Consider the following 19,777-nt stretch of genomic DNA (forward strand, 5'->3'; position numbering starts at 1 on the left):
TCACCTGAGGTCAGGAGTTCAAGACCAGCCTGGCCAACATGGTGAAACCCCATCTCTACTAACAATACAAAAATTAGCTGGGCATGATGGTGGGTGCCTGTAGTCCCAGCTACTCAGGAGGTTGAGGCAGGAGAATCGCTTGAACCTGTGAGGCAGAGGTTCCAGTGAGCCAAGATCGTGCCATTGCATTCCAGCCTGGGTGACACAGCAAGACTCCATCTCAAAAAAAAAAAAAAAAAAAAAAATTAGCCAGGCTTTGTGGTACAGGCCTGTAGTCCTAGCTACTAGGGAGGCTGAGGTGGGAGGATCACTTGAGACCAGGAGGTCAAGGATGCAGTGAACTGTGATCAAAACACTGCACTGCAGCCTGGGCGACAGAGCAGGACCCCATCTCACACCAAAAAATAATAATAAAAATTTAAAAATAGCCAGGCATGGTGGCTCATCCCTTTAATCCCAGAACTTTGGGAGGCCGAGGTAGGCGGATCACTTGAGGTCAGGAGTTCAAGACCAGCCTGGTCAACATGGTGAAACCCTGTCTCTACTAAAAATACAAAAATTAGCTGGGCATGGTGGTGCACTCCCGTAGTCCCAGCTACTTGAGAGGCTGAGGCAAGAAGATTGCTTGAACCCAGGAGATAGAGGATGCAGTGAGCCGAGATCACGCCACTGCACTCCAGACTGGGAGACAGAGACTCTGTCTCGAAATAAAGGACCATGCCAATCCCCAATAGGATGCAATGTCCTTGTGCCGTTATTATCGCCAATTTTTAGAAGAAGAAATTGAGGCTCAGAGGAAGCGGTTTGTCAGAGGGGGAACTGACCTCTGGCAGACCAATTCCAGGATCTTAGCACTTAAACACCACACCACGGGGGGGCAGGGGGGTGCTGGGGGGGTGCGGTTGGAGGGGGTGGGGTTCCCCTCCTAGGGGAGGAGAGGATGAGGCTCAGAGAAGTTACAGAAGCCCAGGAAGTGGCAAAACCTAGGGATTAACCAAAGCGTAGGGACCAAGCAGGGCCCCTGAACACCTGTGTCCTTTCCCAGGTTTTCGGAATCGGTGGCTTGGTTGTCCTTCTCTCCTTGCCGCCCACCAAAGAGCCACTCCCCAGCCTCAACACCATCTTCCATCTTTACAGAATACCCAGGGTCATCCCAGGGAAACTGAGGACCCCAATTTTTCATCGCAACACCACACACAAGCTGAGGGAGTAACTGTGCTCACACACACCCAGTCCGCTTTGGGGGGCCCAAGGAGCCCCCCTACTCTAGATGGGGTAGCCCTGCCCTGGTCTTCAGGCCAGCCCACACCCAGGAGACTCAGAATCTAAAAAACAAAGTACAAACTTTATTTTGTTTCTTTACAAAGGCACGGTGGCCTCTTGGTTTTTTTCTCCCCACTTTCTTAACAAAATATAATAGCTTCTCCTTGAACACGAAGACCTCAAAATTGTAAAAAAAAAAAAAAAAGAAAGAAAAAAAAGAAAAACAAAACAAAAACAGAAAGCAAACCAAAAAGAAATAAAAAACCAACAACAAACAAAACAAAAAGAGAGAGACAGACATTTTTGGGGTGGAAGATGAGACCTGGAGGCAGAGGTGGGGGCTGGGGGGTGGGAGAGTGGCGAATTCTAGTGCCGAGATGGGGAAGGGGGAGGGGGGCACAGCAGCAGCAAACCCCAACCAAGAAGCAACGGAGACCTCCGGGCCCCCAGAATGCCCCAGCCTAGTCTTACCCCCAACCATGTAAGTGCTTAAAGGAGAAAGAAGAAAACCCAAAAAGAGGAAGGAAAGGGGATTGAAGGCTGACAATCCCAGGCTGGCTCTGGGCAGGGAAGAAATAACCTGGGGTTTTGTTTAATTTTCCCTGTTCTTAAAAAACATATTTAAAGGAAAAAATGCTTTTTGGCAGAGAGAGGCCAGGCATCTCCGTGTCAGCTTCCTCCAGCCCCCGGGGCCGAGGCCCCGCCCTGGGGTGCCGATGCTCCCACACGCTCTGCGACACCCCAGCCCCGGGACCTCGGGTTGAGTGGCTTCGTTCAAAGGTCGATTTACAGTATTGAAAAAGAGGTCATAAAAGAGACCCAAATGACATCGTAATTTTGTAAAAATTTCTCACTCATTCGCCCATGTCTCTCCCTGTGGCTGCCCCGGCTCCCTCCAGCCCCCAGAAGGGAGAGGAGGGCTGGGGGGGTAGTCAGGGAAGCTCCCCGTCCCCCGACGGCTCCTCCCGGCTCTGGTCCATGGCGTCACTGTCTGAGGCCTCGGAGTCGGAGGCGGTGTCAGAGGTGGGGGCCTCCGGGCAGCTGCGGACAGGCTTCACGATGACAGCTCGCCGCTGCTCCTCCTCCAGCTCCTGCTTTTCCTGGGTGCCCTCGATGTGCTGGATTGCCTGGACAGGGACGAACCACTGAGAAGGCTCGGCCGGGGATACATGGCCAGCCAGGAGACAGTGGGGGCTCTCAGCCAGCCACTGTCACCCCCAAAACACATAGCCCAGAAAAAAGCCTGGCAAAGCAGCAGGGGAGGCCCGCTAGAGTACAGGAAAAACAAACTCCTTTTACTTTTTTTTTGGAGACAAGCTCTCGCTATATCACCCAGGCTAGAGTGCAGTGGCATGATCATAGCTTACTGCAGTCAGACTCCTGGGCTCCAGCGATCCTCCTACTGCTCCCTCCCTAGTAGCTGGAACCACAGGGGTGCGCCACCATCCCCAGCTAACTTCTGTATTTTTGGTAGAGACGAGGGGGTTCTTGCTATGTTGCCCAAGCTGATCTCGAACTCCTGACCTCAGGCAATCTTCCTGCCTCAACCTCCAAAAGTCCCGGGATTACAGGCATAAGCCACCACGCCTGACCCAGGAACAAACTTTCAAAACCCCTCTGTTAAGTTGAAAAATCCATTCTGGGAAGATGACAGTCCCAGTGCTGCTTAGAAATTATATTATATGTATCAGCCAGGCGCAGTGGCTCACGCCTGTAATCCCAACACTTTGGGAGGCCAAGACGGGAGGATCACCTGACGTCAGGAGTTCGAGACCAGCCCCTCAACAGAGGCCAGAAGCCTACTAAAAATACAAAATTTGCCAGGCGTGGTGGCACATGCCTATAATCCCAGCTACTTGGGAGGCTGAGGCAGGAGAATCACTTGAACCTGGGAGGAGGAGGTTGCGATGAGCTGAGATAGCACCATTGCACTCCAGCCTGGGCAATAAGAGCGAAACTCTATCTCAAAAAAAAAGAAAAAAAAAGAAATAATATGGACCTTTCATATGTTTTTGTTTGTTTGTTTTTTGAGAAAGAGTCTCACCGTGTCACCCAGGCTGGAGTTCAGTGGTGCAATCTCAGCTCACTGCAACTTCCACCTCCCATGTTCAAGCGATTCTCCTGCCTCAGCCTCCCGAATAGCTGGGATTACAGGCGTGCACCACCACGTCAGGCTAATTTTTGTATTTTTAATAGAGATGGGGTTTTCACCATGTTGGCCAGGCTGGTCTCGAACTCCTGACCTCAAGTGATCCACCCACTTTGGCCTCCCAAAGTGCTGGGATTGCAGGTGTGAGCCACCACACCCGGCCATATGTTTATGTATTTTAAAGCTTGCCTATTAACTTATTAAAGGCGTTTGTTATTAATTGTATTACACAATTTGCAAAGTTTATGAGCAATTAAAATTCGAGGAGATTGATGGATTTTTTTTCCTGTTTTGGCTTTTTTGGTTATTTATTTATTATTTACTGATTTCTGATCTTGGGCTCCTCAAGGGGCCCTGTTCAAGGGTGAATGCAACTGTAACTTCAGGCTTGACCCACAAAGCTTCCTCCTCTGTAGGAGGCCCAACTATCACCAGCCCTGCCACCTGTATCTCCATCCAGGTCCTAGGAGATGGAGCTGAGACAATGTTCCGGACCAACCCAAGAGCTGGATGCAGGAACTCTGTAACCAGGGGGCTCTGGGAGCAAAGGACCCTCTCCGGAAACCCCATATTGAGGGAAGGGACAGTCTTCCTGGCCAACTCCTCCTACTGGCGTGGTAGGCCCTGCCCCGATCTCTGGCCCTCACATTCTCCACTTGCAGATCCAGGGACGGGGCCCCCCAAGGCTTCCAGCCCTCCACCCCTTCCCACACAAGCACCATCTTCCTCCGCTTCTGCCCCTCTTTTCCAGTCTCCCCTAAAGAGCCTGTTCCCGGAGTATGACCCCCACAAGCTGCCCCTTTCTCAAGCTCAGGTACCTGCACGATGGTGTCCAGATTTTGCCGGGATGTGGAAACAGAGTTGATGACCGAGGAGGGGCCCATGGTGACGACATTGATGTGGTGGGAGGGAGGAGGAGGCGGTGCTGGCACGATCACCGTGGGGTGGTGGGTGGGGGCCGGAGGGGGCAGAAGCTGCAAGACAGAGGCCCTCAGCCTTTCTCTCAAGGCTTCTCTTGGCCCATCCACCTCCCTTTCATGCAGAGCTGGCCAATGTATAACTGCCTCTGCCCCTTTATATTAAGAAGCAGAGAGGACGTGGCCTAGGGAGAGGCTTCCGCCATTCAAGATCACCTGTCCCCTTCCCGGTCCCCAGAGCCCACTCCCGGGCGCCTCCTGCTCACCTGGGTCCGCAGCTGCTGCTGTTCCCGCTCCAGCTTCTCCTGGTGCAGCAGCCTCACCTGTTCCTGCTGCTGCTGCAGCTGCACCTGCTGCGCAATCACCTTGAGCTTTTCCGGGTACATGTGGGCCTCCAGCGAGCGCACCTGGAGGCAGGACAACCTGGGCTCAGGGCCAAGGCCGGGAGCACACCCTGCCCTGTCAGTCTCACAGCAGCTCATTCACTCCTGCTGAAAACCCTAGCACAGGGCGGGCCCCTCTCAACAGAGGCCAGAAGCCTTTCCAGAGCCCTTCAGCCCCCGGCTCCTCTCGCCTCCCACCTCGGCCTCCACTGGACCATGCTCCCTCCTGCCCGAGTCTTTGCCTATGCTATTCCCTCTGCCGGGAACACCTTTCTCTGTCCTTTGGTTAACTATGAGACTCAACTTCCCACTTCCATGGAGATGCCGTGGGGCGTCCCTTGAAAAACCCCTCCTGATGCCACAGCTCCAGCCTGGCCTTCAATATGGTTTTTTGTTTTTGTTTTTTGGTTTTTTTGAGCCATGGTCTCCTTCTGTCACTCAGGCTGCAGTGTAGTGGCACAATCATGGCTCACTGCAGCCTCCACCTCCTGGGCTCAAGCAATCCTCCCAGCTCAGCCTCCTGAGTAACCGGGACTACAGGCACACCCCACCACACCTGGCTAATTTTTGTATCTTTTTTGGTAGAGACAGAGTCTCACTATGCTTCCCAGGCTGATCTCAAACTCCTGGGCTCAAGCGATCCTCCCACCTCAGCCCCGCAAAGTGCTGGGATTATAGGTGTGAGCCACCATACCCAGCCCATCACGGTTACATTTTTTTTTTTTTGAGATGGAGTCTCGCTCTGTCTCCCAGACTGGAGTGCAGTGGCACGATCTCGGCTCACTGCAAGCTCTGCCTCCCAGGTTCACGCCATTCTCCTGCCTCAGCCTCCCAAACAGCGGGGACTACAGGCACCCACCACCACGCCCGGCTAATTTTTTTTTTTTTTGTATTTTTAGTAGAGACGGGGTTTCACCGTGTTAGCCAGGATGGTATCGATCTGCTGACCTCAGGTGATCCACCCGCCTCGGCCTCCCACAGCATGGTTACATTTTTGAGATCCTTTGGCTAATCTCCCCCACCCCAACGCAGACGGTGGCCCCCAAGGGCAGAGACGTGTCTGGCTTGCTCCCCACTCCTAGGCCTGGCACCGCAGTAGGTGCTCCTGTAAATAGGGCTCCACCGAGGGCCGCAGAGCAAGAGGCGCGACCCCAGGCTCCACGCCCTCTGCACCGCGCGCCGTGCCCAGCAGAGGGCGCTGCCTCACCTGCTCCTCCAGCATCATGCGCACCGAGCGCTCCTTGTCCAGCTGCTGCCGCAGCTCAATCATCTCCCGCCGCAGGTCCTCCGCCTTCTCGTCCTCCCAGATGTCCGGGGAGCCTATGCCTTCGTCCTTGTCCTCTGCCCGCCGTCGCTTGGGGGACGAGCCGCTCAGCTCCTGGGGACCCCAAGGAGTCGGTCAGTGTGCCTGACACCTCGGTACCACCACGGAGATTGGGGTTCCATCGCAGCCCCCCAAAGCTGCCCAACACAGGTGAATCTTCATTAGGGAGCCCCTTCTGCAAGTCCAACAAACCAGCCAAATGCCAGGAGAATGGGCTGCTTTACATAACAGTCACCTGGCTCCTTCCAGAGCCCACTCCACCGCACTTGACCGATGGGGAAACTGAGGCCGGGGCAGGAAAAAAAGTGCCTGGAAGTACTTGTCAGTGGGCAAGAAGGGGCCTGCAGCCACACCTGAGTCCCAGGCCCATGGCTGGGTCCAAGGCATGCCCATGCCAGGGAGAGGGAGCCATGAAGGACAGGGCGCACCTGGATGAAGCGCTTGAGCTGTGTGTTCTGCTGCAAGAGCCTGGTCTTCTCCTGCTCCAGGGAGAAGATGTACTCGGCTGTCTGCTGGAGAATGGCTGCCTGAGGGCGTGGAAAAGCCGAGAGTCAGGCTGGCAGTGTTTACCAGAGCTCACTTTCCTCTCCCAGCGGGAACCTGCCGGCTCCTCCAGGAAGCCCTCCCTGCTCTCACCCACCTTGCTGAGCTTCTCTCCGTCTGTGTGGGGGATGAGGGTCTTGAGGGACTGGAATCCCGCGTTGATGCTCTGCATGCGTCTCCGCTCGTTGCTGTTGGCGATCTCCCGCCGAATCCGCCGCTCCTGGTCCCGCTGAGTCTCGGGGGTTAGTGGAATGTTGGCAAGGCTGCCAGAGAGGACAGGGACAGGCTCGGCCAAGGCGCCCTCTTCATCATTCATCTCCAGAGGGCCCCAGTGGAAACTGCATCCCTCCCCTGCTGCAAAAGATGCCAGGCCACCCCCAGAGAGTGATGGAGGGGTGCTCTCTGGGACACCGGGGCGGACTGAATCAGCTGGCTGCGGGTAAGATAGTCCGCTCAGAACCCACCCCGGGCCAGGCACAGTAATCCCAGTTCTTTGGGAGGTCAAGGCCAAGGATCATTGAGCCTAAGAGTTTGAGATCAGCCTAGGCAACGTAGTGAGACCCTGTCTCTACAAAAAAATAAAATTAGCCAGGTGTGGTGGTGCATGCCTGTAGTCCCAGCTACTCAGGAGGCTGAAGTGGGAGGATCGCTTGAGCCCAGGAGTTGGAGGCTGCAGTGAGCTATGATCACGCCACTGCACTTCAGTCTGGGCAACAGAGCAAGACCTTGTCTCAACAACAACAACAAAAACCCATCCCCTCCCTGGCTTTCCTCACAGGGAGCAGTCTCTCCTCCGGAACAGAATTCCCAGTGTGTCTGAGCATCAAAACATCCAAGAGCTTAGAAACTATGCAGACGACGGGTGCTGGCCCCAGCGTCTGACTAGCAGGCCCGGTGGGGCCCAGAAACGTGCGTGGTGTGATTCTGATGCACGCGGGATGCAGACGACATTCAGGGACGCTGTCCCCGCTCCTGGAACACTTCTGAGTGATTTGCTAGGCACCTGGAGCGCCTCTTCAGCGTCTCAGGCTTTGCCACCCCAGGACTGAGGAAGACGTCCCCACTCCCTTCCTACCCTCACGGCCACGCCTCCCACCACAAGCCCCAGCCCCGCTAGGCTAAGACTTCACAGAAGACAAGTACCACTCACTCCCCAAAAAGACACCAAGCCAACAACCCCTGGGGACACGGCTCCCCACAGCCCACCCACTCCAAGAGATAGACCCACCCTGCGCCGGAGAAGCGAGGCTCCCACCATGCTGTGGGGAGCGCTGCTGACCCTTGCAGGAGCAGTGGCCAGTGCGGTGAGAAGGCAGCCTGGGGGAAGAGGGCGTGGCTGCTGGCTGGGGGCGTGGCTTCGGACGAGGGCGGGGCGTGTGCGCCAGGGGGCGGGGCTGCGGGCCAGGGTGCAGAGGCAGCGGTTGTGGGCCCAAGGCCACGCTCCCGAGGGTTGGGCTTGTGTGTGGCCTGGAGGAGGCATGTCCCCCTCCCTGGACCTCCCCTGCAACTCCCCCCGCCCCTGGCCTGATGGCTTCCAGATGCTGGGCTCTCAGCAGAGGCTGCCGGCCCCACCCGAAGCCGCAGCCCCGGCCTCTTCCTGAGGGGCCCTCCCGGGGTGCCCTGTTCCAGGACTGGGCCAAGGGGGCTCATGCCCCTGAATGTGGGAGAACAGGAAAAGGGTTCTGGGCAGCTCCTGCTCCATTGATGAAGGCAGTCTGGGGTCAAGGGGCTGCCAAGTCTAACTCCCCTGCTGTGTGCCCTGGCCCCTTCGCCAGCCTGCAGGCGGAAAGGAGTTTGCACGGACCCCGGAGGCAGCACATCTGCAACAGCTGGAAACAGCCGTGGCCTTCCTGGCCCCACCCAGCCTGCCCATCTGTCCAGCCTTGGCTCCCTGTGGGACCCTGGACGCATCGCTGCCCCTTCCCCGGCCTCGGCTTCCTCTCCCAATAGAGAGGTGTCCAACGCCGGAAGTCTGGATGCAAATCAGCCTCCTTCCGTCCTCATCAAGCCAAGCCCCCTCCTCCATCAGGACCCAAAGGCCCAGGGCCTGCACCCAGGGTACAAGTCTCTTACAGGGTCTTGAAATGTCCGCACTGCAAAAGGGGCCCGGGCCCCCCACTTTCCATGAGACTTTAGGGTGCAGGGCAGAGAGGGGATGGTTTTAGGGTCGGTCAGCTGGATGTCAGTGCTCTCACTTCTCCCGGTTCCCCTGCCCTGAAGTGGAGGTGATAGGGGGACTGGAGCAGGCCTGCTGCACGGCTGTGTGTGGCCCAGCCTTAGGGCGGAGTCCAGGCTCCCAGGCCTGGCACAAACTCAGACCATACCATGTCTGAGAGGCCAGCAGGCCAAGGGGACCAGGACTGCTCTGCAGTGGGTGGCTTAAAGCTGGGGCTCTTTGGAGGTAAGAGGTGGGAAGAGATGTCCATAGGAAGCCACAACACAAGGTAAGTGCAATCTTGAGGCATCACCATCCCCCTCAGGAGAGATGTGGGGAGAGACCCCTGCCCACCCAGCCCCTGGGTCCCTCCTGGCAATGCCCAAAAGCCAGAGCTGACTAGGGGGTGAAAAGGGAGCACCAAGTCCAGCCTTGGGCCACCTGAGAGCTGGCCCTCCTGGAGGGTCCACAACAGAGGGATACATTTTTTTTTTTAAGTTTTTGGCGAGAATTTTCTCACTGAATTGTCACAATGTTCCTGAGTCAGGTGGCCTGAAGACTCCCATGTAAAGAGGGGGGCACAGAGGTTTGGGTAGGGTCCAGCTGCAGCAAGCGCTGGGCGTGAACCCTGACCCCAGAGCAGGTGTCAGGCCATAGGGCAGAATGAGCTCTGACCGGCCCACAGAGCCAGATGCCCCAACTGGCAGGTGACAGTTATCCCTGTAAAAGAGAAGACTAGGCCGGGCACAGTGGCTCACACCTATAATCCTAGCACTTTGGGAGGCCAAAGTAGGAGGATCGCTTGAGCCCCAGAGTTCAAGACCAGCCTGGGCAACATAGTGAGACCCCATCACTAGAAAAAATTAATCAGCCAGGCATGGTGGAGTGTCCCTATTGTTCCAGCAACTGAGGAGGCTAAGGTGGGAGGATGTAATAAGCCCAGGAGGTTGAGGCTGCAGTGAGCTGTGATCATGTCACTGTACTCCAGCCTGGGCAACAGAGTGAGACCTTGTCTCAAAAAAAAAAAAAAAAAAAAAAAAAAAGGACCAGGCATTCGGAAATCGCTGTAATCGTGTAACTCTTTTTATTATTCACAGACCTCGTTGACATTTTTCCCTGCCTGATTCTCACAAAACCCAGTGGGGTGGCCGAGATTACAGTGAGCAAGCAATGCAGGGTCGTGGGAAGGAAGGTGATGATCCCAAGGTCAAGTAGCCAGACCTGGCACAACAGCAACCTGCAGATGCCAACCCACTGAAGCGCCTCTACTGACTGCTAGTTCACACAGCCCGCCACTTATCAGAAGCGGGTGTGTGACTGCAAGCTCAGCCATCACCCCTGCCCCTCTGAACACAAGCCCACAAGTGAGGTGACTTGCCCAAGGTCACACCCAGCAGCTGGGCAGGGCAGGGTGCAGCCAGATGCACCCTTCTGCACCTCCCGGCCCAAGTCCCACCAACTCCTCTGCTCTTGGGAGCTGACCCTCAGCCTCTTCCGTCCCTTCCCCGCAAGGCAGCCCACTAACTGGGAGACCAAAGGAGACCACCAGACCCCAGTCCCGAAAACCCCAGCCGGAAGTTCTCACAAGGAAGAGGAGCTGGGGCTGGGATCAGGGGCCTGTGTCGCCTCCTCCTCTGCATCAGAATCTGCCGGCCCAGCTTCTCCAATGCTCCATCCTGCCTCCTTCCTCTCCAAAGCCATCAGCCCAGTCTCCTGGCTCAGAAACCAGCTGCTGGCTAACCTAGTGCTTAACTTAGGTTAAGCACTTTCTTAAATCCAAGAAAGCAAATTTCCCCCCAAAAGGTACAGTTCCTCGTGGGACCTGAATCTGCCACCAAGACCCTCAAATATAACTCACCTAAATTGCCCTGGAAGTACCCGCCGACAGAGTCCTTTAATAGAATGCATTCTAACCAAGGCTTCTGATTGGTGGAATAGGAGCTAACCAGGGGTTGTGATTGGTGGAGTGCCGCTAACCAGGAATTCTTATTGGTGGAATGCTGACCAACCAGGGCTTCTGATGGCTGACCAACCAGGGGTTCCTGTTGATGAAGGATGGTTGATTGAAATTTCCAGGTGATACTGCACTGAATAAAGTGGATTTTTCTGCAAATGCCTGAAAGTTTCTGATAGCTCTTTCTGGGGTTTTGCATTTACGGTTAAGGTCTGTAAACGTCCTACACACACAGTAAAGGTCCACTATCCTCTCTCTGGCCACTTCAGACTCCTCCAGGTGAAAATCAAAGGTGACCCAAGTCCACCAACACCGAGGTTCTCTTTTTTCTTTTGACTGAGTCTCGCTCTATTGCCCAGGCTGGAGTGCAGTGGCACAATCTTGGCTCACTGCAATCTCTACCTCCCGGGTTCAAGCGATTTTCATGCCTCAGCCTCCCAAATAACTGGGATTACAGGCGTGATCCACCAAGCCTGGCTAATTATGGGGGGCGGAGGGGGGGTTGAGATGGAGTCTCGCTCTGTTGCCCAGGCTAGAGTGCAGTAGCACAATCTCAGCTCACTGCAATTTCTACCTCCCGAGTTCAAGCAATTCTCATGCCTCAGCCTCCCGAGTAGCTGGGATTACAGGGACCCACCACCACGCCCGGCTAATTTTTGTATTTTTAGTAGAGATGGGGTTTCACCATGTTGGTCAGGCTGGTCTCGAACTGTTGACCTCAAATGATCCATCCGCCTCGGCCTCCCAAAGTGCTGGGATTATAGGCATGAGCCACCATGCCCAGCCACACCAAGGCTCTCTTGCTTCTTGCAAGCCAGCCTCCTGGGTCCAAACAGGGGCTGCCCTAGATTTAGGAATAAGGTCACTGAGCAGCCAATGGCCAAGGAACAAAATTTGGGCACCAGCCTTGGATGCTAAGGCAAGAGCCGCCACACCTACCACCACAGCACCCACAGAATCTGCTGAGACTGACGCTGGCGTCCCAACCAGACACTTGGAGGCATGGGGCATGCCCTTCAAGTCTAGAACCCTGCCAGGTACCTATCCCTCCTGCCCAGGCCAAAGTCAAGTACCCCCAATCCCTCTACACCTGCCTGCCCAGCTCCAGCCTCAAACCGGCCACTGAGAACTTTCATTTCACACTGCCCTGAAGTCACTCACATACCTCAGGGTCACTTAACATCTACACAGTCAACGTGGGAAAGTCCACACGGGATTCTCCCAAACCCAAAAAAGCACTAAGGCACTCATCCTTCTCTAACCTAATCAGCCCGAGGTTCTCATCCATGCTCCATCCCCGCTGCTTCTACACTACTCACCCATACTCTGTACTCTGACCTGGCCAGTCTGCTGCCCTTCCCCTCGGTCCCAGAACACACCATGCCCAGGCTGTTGCCATCAGAAACATCCCTGCCTCCCTCCCTTCCCCAAAGCTCCTCCAGCCCATCAGTGGGAACCCTGCACTGGGCTCAAGTGAAAAAGTCCAGCCTTGCCACTTACTAGCTGTGCAACACCAAGCCTCGGTTTCCTCCGTCTGTAAAATATGGAAACACTGCTTCACTTCACAGGGTCATGGTGAAGTTTAAAAGAGATCAAGAAAGGCCAGGCACGGTGGCTCATGCCTGTAATCCCAGCACTTTGGGAGGCTAAGGTGGGCAGATCACCTGAGGTCAGAAGTTTCAGACCAGCCAGGCCAAGATGGTGAAACCCCCTCTCTACTAAAAATACAAAAATTAGCCGGGTGTCGTGGGACGTGCCTGTAATCCCAGCTACTCGGGAGGTCGAGGCCCAAGAGTTAGTTTGCACCCAGGTGTCCAGGACAACCCATGAAACTCTTAGGGGGTCTACAAGACCTTTTAAGACCACAAGGCTGTGAGCTGCTGAGGACAGGAGTCACATCCTGTTCATGGCTGTATCCTCAGTCCCGGCAGAATGTTGTTGCTTCATAAATAAATCAGGGACCCAATAAACACTCCAAAGCCTTCAATTTTCTTGAACTCCTTCTTATGGGAGCTTTTTAAGTTTTATTATTTTTTTAATTTATTTTTATTTATTTATTTAGAGGCAGGGTCTCACTCCCGTCACCCAAGCTGGAGTGCAATGGCATGATCTCGGCTTACTGTAGCCTCAACTTCTTGGGCCCAGGTCGTCCTCCTTCCTCAGCCTCCCAAGCAACTGGGAGTATAAGTGCACACCATTCACACCCGGCTAGTTTTTTGTATTTTTAGTAGAAACAGGGTTTCGTCATGTTGCTGAGGCTGGTCTCGAACTCCTGGGCTCAAGTGATCCTCCCGCCTTGGTCTCCCAAAGTGCTAGGGTTACAAGAGTGAGCCACTGCACCCAGTCTTACTGTTTTTTTTAAGAGACAGGGTCTCTGTTACCCAGGCTAGAGTGCAGTGCTATGATCATAGCTCACTGCAATCTCCAATTCCCAGGCTCAAGCCATCCTCCTGCCTCAGCCTCCCAAGGAGCTGAGACTACAGGCACATGCCACCATGCCGGGCTAATTTTTTTATTTTTTGTAGAGGTGGGGTCTTGCTATGTTGCCCAGGCTGGTCTCGAACTCCTGGGCTCAAATGATTTTTTCCCCTTGGCCTTCCAAAGCACTGGGATTACAGGCTTGAGCCACCGAGCCAGGCCTAGGAGCTTTATGATACAGACAGAGGCCAGGCGCGGTGGCTCACGCCTGTAATCCCAACACTTTGGGAGGCCGAGGTGGGCAGATCACGAGGTCAGGAGATCGAGACCATCCTGGCTAACACAGTGAAAGCCTGTCTCTAATTAAAATACAAAAAATTAGCCGGGCGTGGTGGTGGGCGCCTGTAGTCCCAGCTACTCGGGAGGCTGAGGCAGGAGAATGGCGTGAACCCGGGAGGCCGAGCTTGCAGTGAGCCGAGATTGCACCACTGCACTCCAGCCTGGGCGACAGAGCGAGACTCTGCCTCAAAAAAAAAAAAAAAAAAAAAAAGATACAGATGGAGAGTCCGGGCACGGTGGCTCACGTCTGAAATCACAGCACTTTGGGAGGACGAGGCGGGCAGATCATAAGATCAGGAGATCGAGACCATCCTGGCCAAAATGGTGAAACCCCGTCTGTACTAAAAATACAAAAATTAGCCGGCCATGGTGGAGCGGGCCTGTAGTCCCAGTTACTTAGGAGGCTGAGGCAGGAAAATTGCTTGAACCCCGGAGGCAGAAGTTGCAGTGAGCCGAGATTGCGCCACTGCACTCCAGCCTGTGCGACAGAGTGAGAGTCCATCTCAAAACAAACAAACAAACAAACAAACAAAACACAAGATATGGATGGAGACTACCATATACCTGCCCATATACCTGCTTTTAAGACTCAGTGGCTGGGCGCAGTTGCTCATGCCTGTAATCCTAGTACTTTGGGAGGCCAAGGTGGGCAGATCACCTGAGGTCAGGGGTTCGAGACCAGCCTGGCCAACCACTATGGTGAAACCCCATCTCTACTAAAAATAAAAAAATTAGCCAGGCATGCTGACACATGCCTGTAATCCCAGCTACTTGGGAGGCTGAGGCAGGAAAGTCGGTTGAATCTAGGAGGCGGAGGTTGCAGTGAGCCAAGATTGCACTCCATTCTGGGTGACAGAGTGAGACTCCGTCTCAAAAAAAAAAAGACTGAGTGTCATTTTTACAGCTACCAGGCACTTGCCATACCCATAGCTAATTTTCTCACAGGTGCTCTGTTTCCCAGAGACTGAGAACCATTAGGCGACAGGTCCAAAACCTGCAGCTTGTGTGTGCAGCACCGTGCCCTACAATCCCCTCTGGCAGGCCTGGGAGACAGAAAGACAGGGAGATCCCTGCTGGTCACTGAGGGATGGAGCAAAGCCCACCAGCCTGAGATGACCCTGAGAAGCAAATGCATCTGGCCAGAAGGTCCTGCCTAATGAACACATTTGATCCCAGACTGGCTTCCCACCTCACCCTGCAACCCCTACTGAAGGTAAACAAATCCAGGGACCCCCAACTCCATGCCTAATGCACAGCTGACAACTGTCTTGCAATGGACGTTGCCATGTCCAACCCTGGACGAAGGCCCTACACCTTCAAGTCCTTGGCCTACCAAGATCCAGCTACCCTGGGGGACTGCTGGTATGCTCCAAAGGAACGCTTGGGGCAGGGATAAATTGAAGCCAGAATCTCAGGGGGCCCTGAGAGGACTCACCCAAGGCCCAGGCATGGCAGCCAGAGGGCCCCCCAACCCTGCCCAGGATCAGGCCCAGAATGTCTTCTCCAGTAGGCACAGCGGCTCAACTGCACCTCCGCGCTGCCCAGCCCAGCCCTGCAGCAGCAGCAACCCCAGGACAAGGGTTCAAGTTCCAGTTCCACCACCTGCTGTAGTGGTCCCTTCTCCAGTCTCTGTGTCCGCCTCTTTAAGCGGAATCAAAAGACACTTTTGACTCATAGAAAGATTATGACAACTCAGTGAGAAAATTCTAGCAAAGTGAGTCCCCAGAACATAAAAAGAGCTCAAGAATTTTTTTTACTTATTATTACTGGGCCCTCCAGGTGGGCCTCGTGCAAGGGCCAGCCCTCGGGGCATCCCTGCCAGCTGCCAAACCCATCAACTGGCCCAAGTCTAGGTATTGACTGGGAACTTCAGAGTAGCCTTAAGGTGGGGACCCCCGGGGCAGAGGGTTGGGCAGGAGTGTCTACACGTGTGCAGCAACCTTCCCTCCAGGCCGGATTCTGCAGGCGCTAGCGTCCACCAGCCTGTGCCACACCGGCGGGCTCCTCCTCCCTCAATCCCCGCCCAGACTGCCTCGGGCGGCAGAGCACGTGGCTCCAGCCCTGGGGAGCCATTTCGCTCCTGGAGCAGCGCGGCAGGAAAGGGGCCACAGGTCCCAAACTTGCGCACGCCGTAGAACGCCCACCTCCCCCACACCACGCCCAGGGGGTCGTTCAAAATGCAGATGTCCGGGCCCCAGCGATCAGAGTTCCAGGCATGTGCATTTTAAGAAGTGTGCGGGGTGGTTTGGCTGTGTGTGGTCCTTGAGTCCATCACCCTTTGGGTTTAGAGCAACCTAGGACCAAAGCTTGCAAAGTGGCTTCTGGGGAGGCCTGCGGACCTCGGGCCACCCACCCGGCTGGGGGACCCGACGCTTTCGGTTTACGGCAGGGGGGAGGGGCGTTGGATGGGAAAGTTTGCAGAGGAAACCCACGTGCGGCGGGAAGCTGCCCTGCGAGGCTAGGGGCGGCCTCAGGTGTCCCTTCCCCAAATGGCCTGCCCACCTGGCCTGCCTTGCCCATCGTGCCCGCGGGGGCCGAGCTTTGTGCAGGGAAAGCGTGGCCCAGGAGCGCCTACAAATCCCACAATGCTGCACCAGCAGGACACGGAGAACTACAGCTCCCGCGAGGCCGCGCGCAGAGGTCCGCCTACTCCAAGAGGGCTGCAGAGTCACGTCCAGGCCTCGCTAGTAAACAGCGCCCGGGCGCGGGCGGGCGAGCGAGCGGCAGCCAACGTGCCCCGGGCCGCGGCGCCCCTACCGGCCGCGCGGGCCCCTCGGGGTCCGCCCACCCCCAACACCCACACGCGAGCACGCCCCCGACCCCGCTGCAGCCCCGCTCTGCAAACACGCACAGTGCCCGGCTCCCCGCCCCCACCCCGCGCCGGGAGCCGCGGCATGGCTGCATTGTAGCCGCCCTAGCTACACCCCCACGCGCGCCCCGGGCCCCCAGACCCCCTTGGATGGGGACGACCTCAGATCCCGAGGAAGGAAGGAGAGGAAGGAAGCCGCCGCAGGAGGGGGAAAGAGGAAGCGCGGGGGGGAAGGCCACCAGCACCAAGCATGGCCGGGACTGCTGCAGAACCACGTGGGTCTGTTTGCAATTTACAAACGTCGCGACTCGCCCGCCTGCAGCGGACAAAAGTGGCCGGGGCCGCTTGGGGCCCCCATGCTCCAAGGAAGGAGGGTCCCGGGGCGGCGCGGACCCGGCGTGTGGGGCTGCAGCCGTCCCGGCAGCTAAGAAAGGCTAGCGGGGTCGGCGGCGCGGGCCATGCGTGCGCACACGCGCGCCCGCCCGGGCGGGCTGGCCGGGGGCTGCAGTGGTAGGAAGGGGGTGGGGGGAGGAGGAGTACACACCTACAGAGCCCTCCTATCACTTCTTTCTCTGTTTTCCTGAAATGTTGCAAAGAGGGCACCTTCTGAGTGGGCACCATGAAATACTCCATAGCGATCGGCCCCCCTCCTCTGCACGAGCCAGGTCCCGCGATCAGCCGGAGAATGCAAGATGGAAATCCGAATCAAAGGGCAGCGCCGGACGGAGGTGCAGAATCGGCCGGTCCCAGATGCTGGCGGCGGCGGCGGCGGCGAGGGGAGGGAGGCGGGCGGGAGGGGCGGGAGGGAGGTCTCTCCGGCCTGCCTCCCCGGGCGTGTGTATGTGTGTGTGTGTGTGTGTGTGTGTGTGTGTGTGTGTGTGTGTGTGTGTTTGCAGCTGATCAGATGTCTGTTTCAAGGCGGGAAACAGCTGGTGAAAACTCAGCACTCCCCCGGCCTCCTTCCGCGGAGTAAGGAATTGCATGTAAACAAAGGACTATTTGCAGCGCCCCCCGGGCGGCGCGAGGCCGGGGCGAGAGGGGCGCGGGCCCCCGGGGACCGGCTGCAACCGGGGTCTGCAGGCCTCTCGCGGGGCGCAGGGGGCCGGGGGCCGCGGGCGGGCTTGCGGGGCGCGGCGTGAATGGAGCGAGCTGCGGCCGAGCTACATGCGCCACTATGGGTGATGAGGTCCATCAGCTGACAGGTTGGCAAGCGTTGCAAAAAAAAAAAAAAAAAGGCCAGCCACCGCGCAGGGAGCCCAGCCCGTGCAGCCCGGAGTCCAGCAGCGACTGGCCCAGAGCAGGGTCCGCGCGCTCGGCCGGCCCGCAGGGAGGAGGGGGCGCGGCTGGGTCGGGCGTGCAGCGGCAGCAAGGAAGGCGGCCTGGGGTTCGCGCTTGGGGCTTCTGCTTTTTCACCATTGCAGCTGCACGGAGCGGAGCCTCTCCGGTGTGCTCCCTTCGAGCCGAGCCCAGGGCCCCCTGGAAACTTGCGTCACAGCCACCGCTTCCCACATGTAACTCGGGGCTGACTTCGGAGGCCGGCCAGCTTCCTCCCTCCCGCCTTGCTTAGCTGGCCGCACGGCCGGGACTCCGGATCCTGGGAATCTTGGACCCGGCGACGGGACGGCAAAGGGCGCCTCGGATGCTGGGGCCGCCCTAGGAAGCCGGGGGCCCCGGCAGGGAGGGGAGGGTGGAGGCGGGCCTGAACGGCAGCGGCCCCCGGGCGCAGGCTGCCAGCGCTGCGGGGAGGTCTGCTGGTTGCTGCCGGGTCCCCTGCTATTCCCCCAGACCCGCACTGTTCCCTCCGCGGGCTGAAGGCTGCAGCTTCCCATTCATAACAAAGCCCGTGTGGGACTTGCCCCTCCGCCAGGATGCGCTCCCCAAGAGGGGGTGACGACTTGGGGCAGGGACGGGGACCCTGGCGGCGAGCTTCCGTCCTCCGCTCGCACGCCGCACCTTCCGGCCCCAGGCCCTCCCCTGGCTCCTGGAGGGTTGGCTCCTGGCTCAGGAAGCCCACGCCTGCCTTGGAATGTCCTGGATCCTGCCCACCGCCTTCCAGGTTCCGCCTAAATCGCGCCTCCTAATTTGACTTATTCCTACTAGTAACAATAGTTACTGTTATTATTGGGAAATATTGTTATTAGATGTTGCCAGCACCCGGTGGATGCCGAGCAGTTTTGCTTACACGCTCTCCAATCCTTGAAGCAACCTGTTAGGCAGTTTCTCTAAGGAGAGATCCCAGACCACTTGACCAAAAAAAAGTCTCTGGAAGGCTTACTATGTTTCTACTTAAAAAAAAAAAAAAAAAAAAAAAACTTTCGGCTGGGCGCGTTGGCTCACGCCTGTAATCTCAGCACTTTGGGAGGCTGAGGCGGGTGGATCACCTGAGGTCGGGAGTTCGAGACCAGCCTGACCAACATGGAGAAACCCCGTCTCTACTAAAAATGCAAAATTAGCCGGGGGCCTGGTGGCACATGCCTGTAATCTCAGCTACTCGGGAGGCTGAAGCAGGAGAATCGCTTGAACCCGGGAGGTGGAGGTTGCAGTGAGCCAAGATCATGTCATTGCACTCCAGCCTGGGCAACAAGAGTGAAACTCCGTCTCAAAAAAAAAAAAAAAAAAAAACCTTTTTACTGTTTTTCAACAAATAGAGATAGGAGTCTCACTGTGTTGCCCAGCCTGGTCTTGAACTCCTGGGACTCAAGGAATCCTACCTCTACCTCCCAAATTGCTGGGATTACAAGCATGAGCCATGGATGGCCCTGGTGGGAAGCCTATTTTTAACTGCCCTTAGTGAGCAAGCTATTCTTTTTTTTGTTTTGTTTTGTTTTGTTTTTTAAGACGGAGTCTTGCTTTGTCACCCAGGCTAGAGTGCAGTGGCACGATCTCGGCTCACTGCAACCTCCGCCTCCTGGGTTCAAGTGATTCTTCTGCCTCAGCCTCCCAAGTAGCTGTGGTTACAGGCACACACCACCAAGCCCGGCTAATTTTTGTATTTTTAGTACAGATGGGATTTTGCCCTGTTGGCCAGGCTGGTCTCAAACTCCTGACCTCAGGCGATCTGCCCACCCCGGTCCCCCAAAGTGCCAGGATTACAGGCATCAGCCACCTCACCCAGCAGTGAGCAAGCTATTCTGGTGCATTACTGTCTCCTTATCCTCTCATTTTGCACATGGGAAGACAGAAGCTCACAGCTGCAGACAAGAATGCACTCAGGAGTGCTGGCTGCAAAAAGCCCTGGTTCTTTATATCACACTCATCCTCCCACCTGCCACACCTCACCTCTGATCAGGGCCTTATTTTGTACTTGCTTTTGTTATTTTCCAGAGCAAAGCATTCTGTCATACTTAGTTATATGTGGCCTTCAGAGTGTTCTCTGGCTGTCTCCCTGGTTCAATTTTTTTTTTTTTTTTTGAGACGGAGTCTCACACTGTCGCCCAGGCTGGAGTGCAGTGGCGCGATCTCGGCTCACTGGAACCTCTACCTCCCAGGTTTAAGCGATTCTCCTGTTCTCCTGCCTCAGCCT

At 56.3% G+C, this 19,777-nt stretch overlaps 1 protein-coding gene and 1 long non-coding RNA gene across 5 annotated transcripts, besides 9 other annotated features; one reads left to right on the forward strand and one right to left on the reverse strand.

The window, feature by feature from the left end:
* Positions 1 to 1,326: 1,326 nt before the first annotated feature.
* On the reverse strand, positions 1,327 to 17,164 carry TFAP4 (transcription factor AP-4). 4 transcript variants are annotated; one of them, NM_003223.3, is made up of 7 exons: positions 16,799 to 17,164; positions 6,677 to 6,842; positions 6,465 to 6,563; positions 5,920 to 6,090; positions 4,596 to 4,736; positions 4,231 to 4,386; positions 1,327 to 2,390 (listed from the first exon to the last, which is right to left on the reverse strand). In NM_003223.3, the coding sequence occupies exons 1-7, from the start codon at positions 16,885 to 16,887 to the stop codon at positions 2,196 to 2,198; spliced, it is 1,017 nt and encodes a 338-aa protein (NP_003214.1). In that variant the 5' UTR covers positions 16,888 to 17,164; the 3' UTR covers positions 1,327 to 2,195. The 4 variants fall into 4 exon arrangements, with proteins under 4 accessions (NP_003214.1, XP_011520937.1, XP_011520935.1 ...); XM_011522635.4 differs by lacking the exon at positions 16,799 to 17,164 and adding an exon at positions 12,189 to 12,345; XM_011522633.4 differs by lacking the exon at positions 16,799 to 17,164 and adding an exon at positions 10,593 to 11,071.
* LOC124903634 (uncharacterized) lies at positions 8,017 to 10,847 on the forward strand. Its single transcript, XR_007064959.1, has 2 exons — positions 8,017 to 9,023; positions 9,832 to 10,847. It is a non-coding gene; the product is annotated as an uncharacterized LOC124903634 (long non-coding RNA).
* Positions 8,706 to 9,349: an enhancer, noted in NCBI's record as "H3K27ac-H3K4me1 hESC enhancer chr16:4314566-4315209 (GRCh37/hg19 assembly coordinates)". NCBI's record gives its function as "activates a minimal SCP1, AML or CMV promoter by ChIP-STARR-seq in primed H9 embryonic stem cells {active_cell/tissue: H9 hESC(primed)}" and the evidence as "EXISTENCE:reporter gene assay evidence [ECO:0000049][PMID:30033119]".
* Positions 9,350 to 9,994: an enhancer, noted in NCBI's record as "H3K4me1 hESC enhancer chr16:4315210-4315854 (GRCh37/hg19 assembly coordinates)". NCBI's record gives its function as "activates a minimal SCP1, AML or CMV promoter by ChIP-STARR-seq in primed H9 embryonic stem cells {active_cell/tissue: H9 hESC(primed)}" and the evidence as "EXISTENCE:reporter gene assay evidence [ECO:0000049][PMID:30033119]".
* Positions 15,381 to 16,357: an enhancer, noted in NCBI's record as "H3K27ac-H3K4me1 hESC enhancer chr16:4321241-4322217 (GRCh37/hg19 assembly coordinates)". NCBI's record gives its function as "activates a minimal SCP1, AML or CMV promoter by ChIP-STARR-seq in naive and primed H9 embryonic stem cells {active_cell/tissue: H9 hESC(naive and primed)}" and the evidence as "EXISTENCE:reporter gene assay evidence [ECO:0000049][PMID:30033119]".
* Positions 15,899 to 16,088: an enhancer, noted in NCBI's record as "active region_10337". NCBI's record gives its function as "activates an Ori minimal core promoter by ATAC-STARR-seq in GM12878 lymphoblastoid cells {active_cell/tissue: GM12878}" and the evidence as "EXISTENCE:reporter gene assay evidence [ECO:0000049][PMID:35858748]".
* Positions 16,169 to 16,328: a silencer, noted in NCBI's record as "silent region_7149". NCBI's record gives its function as "represses an Ori minimal core promoter by ATAC-STARR-seq in GM12878 lymphoblastoid cells {active_cell/tissue: GM12878}" and the evidence as "EXISTENCE:reporter gene assay evidence [ECO:0000049][PMID:35858748]".
* Positions 16,689 to 16,738: a silencer, noted in NCBI's record as "silent region_7150". NCBI's record gives its function as "represses an Ori minimal core promoter by ATAC-STARR-seq in GM12878 lymphoblastoid cells {active_cell/tissue: GM12878}" and the evidence as "EXISTENCE:reporter gene assay evidence [ECO:0000049][PMID:35858748]".
* Positions 16,989 to 17,038: an enhancer, noted in NCBI's record as "active region_10338". NCBI's record gives its function as "activates an Ori minimal core promoter by ATAC-STARR-seq in GM12878 lymphoblastoid cells {active_cell/tissue: GM12878}" and the evidence as "EXISTENCE:reporter gene assay evidence [ECO:0000049][PMID:35858748]".
* Positions 17,335 to 18,310: an enhancer, noted in NCBI's record as "H3K27ac hESC enhancer chr16:4323195-4324170 (GRCh37/hg19 assembly coordinates)". NCBI's record gives its function as "activates a minimal SCP1, AML or CMV promoter by ChIP-STARR-seq in primed H9 embryonic stem cells {active_cell/tissue: H9 hESC(primed)}" and the evidence as "EXISTENCE:reporter gene assay evidence [ECO:0000049][PMID:30033119]".
* Positions 17,459 to 18,108: a silencer, noted in NCBI's record as "silent region_7151". NCBI's record gives its function as "represses an Ori minimal core promoter by ATAC-STARR-seq in GM12878 lymphoblastoid cells {active_cell/tissue: GM12878}" and the evidence as "EXISTENCE:reporter gene assay evidence [ECO:0000049][PMID:35858748]".

Source organism: Homo sapiens, chromosome 16 (genome assembly GCF_000001405.40).
Source record: "Homo sapiens chromosome 16, GRCh38.p14 Primary Assembly".
Taxonomy (NCBI): Eukaryota; Metazoa; Chordata; class Mammalia; order Primates; family Hominidae; genus Homo; species Homo sapiens.

Coding starts and splice junctions, on each gene's coding strand:
- TFAP4 (XM_047434553.1), bottom strand. CDS start 8,490: ATGCGTCCAGGGTCCCACAGGGAGCCAAGGCTGGACAGATGGGCAGGC. Junction 6,564..6,676: donor ACGGAGAGAAGCTCAGCAAG/GTGGGTGAGAGC, acceptor CCACGCCCTCAG/GCAGCCATTCTCCAGCAGAC. Junction 4,387..4,595: donor AGCAGCAGCTGCGGACCCAG/GTGAGCAGGAGG, acceptor TCTGTCTTGCAG/CTTCTGCCCCCTCCGGCCCC.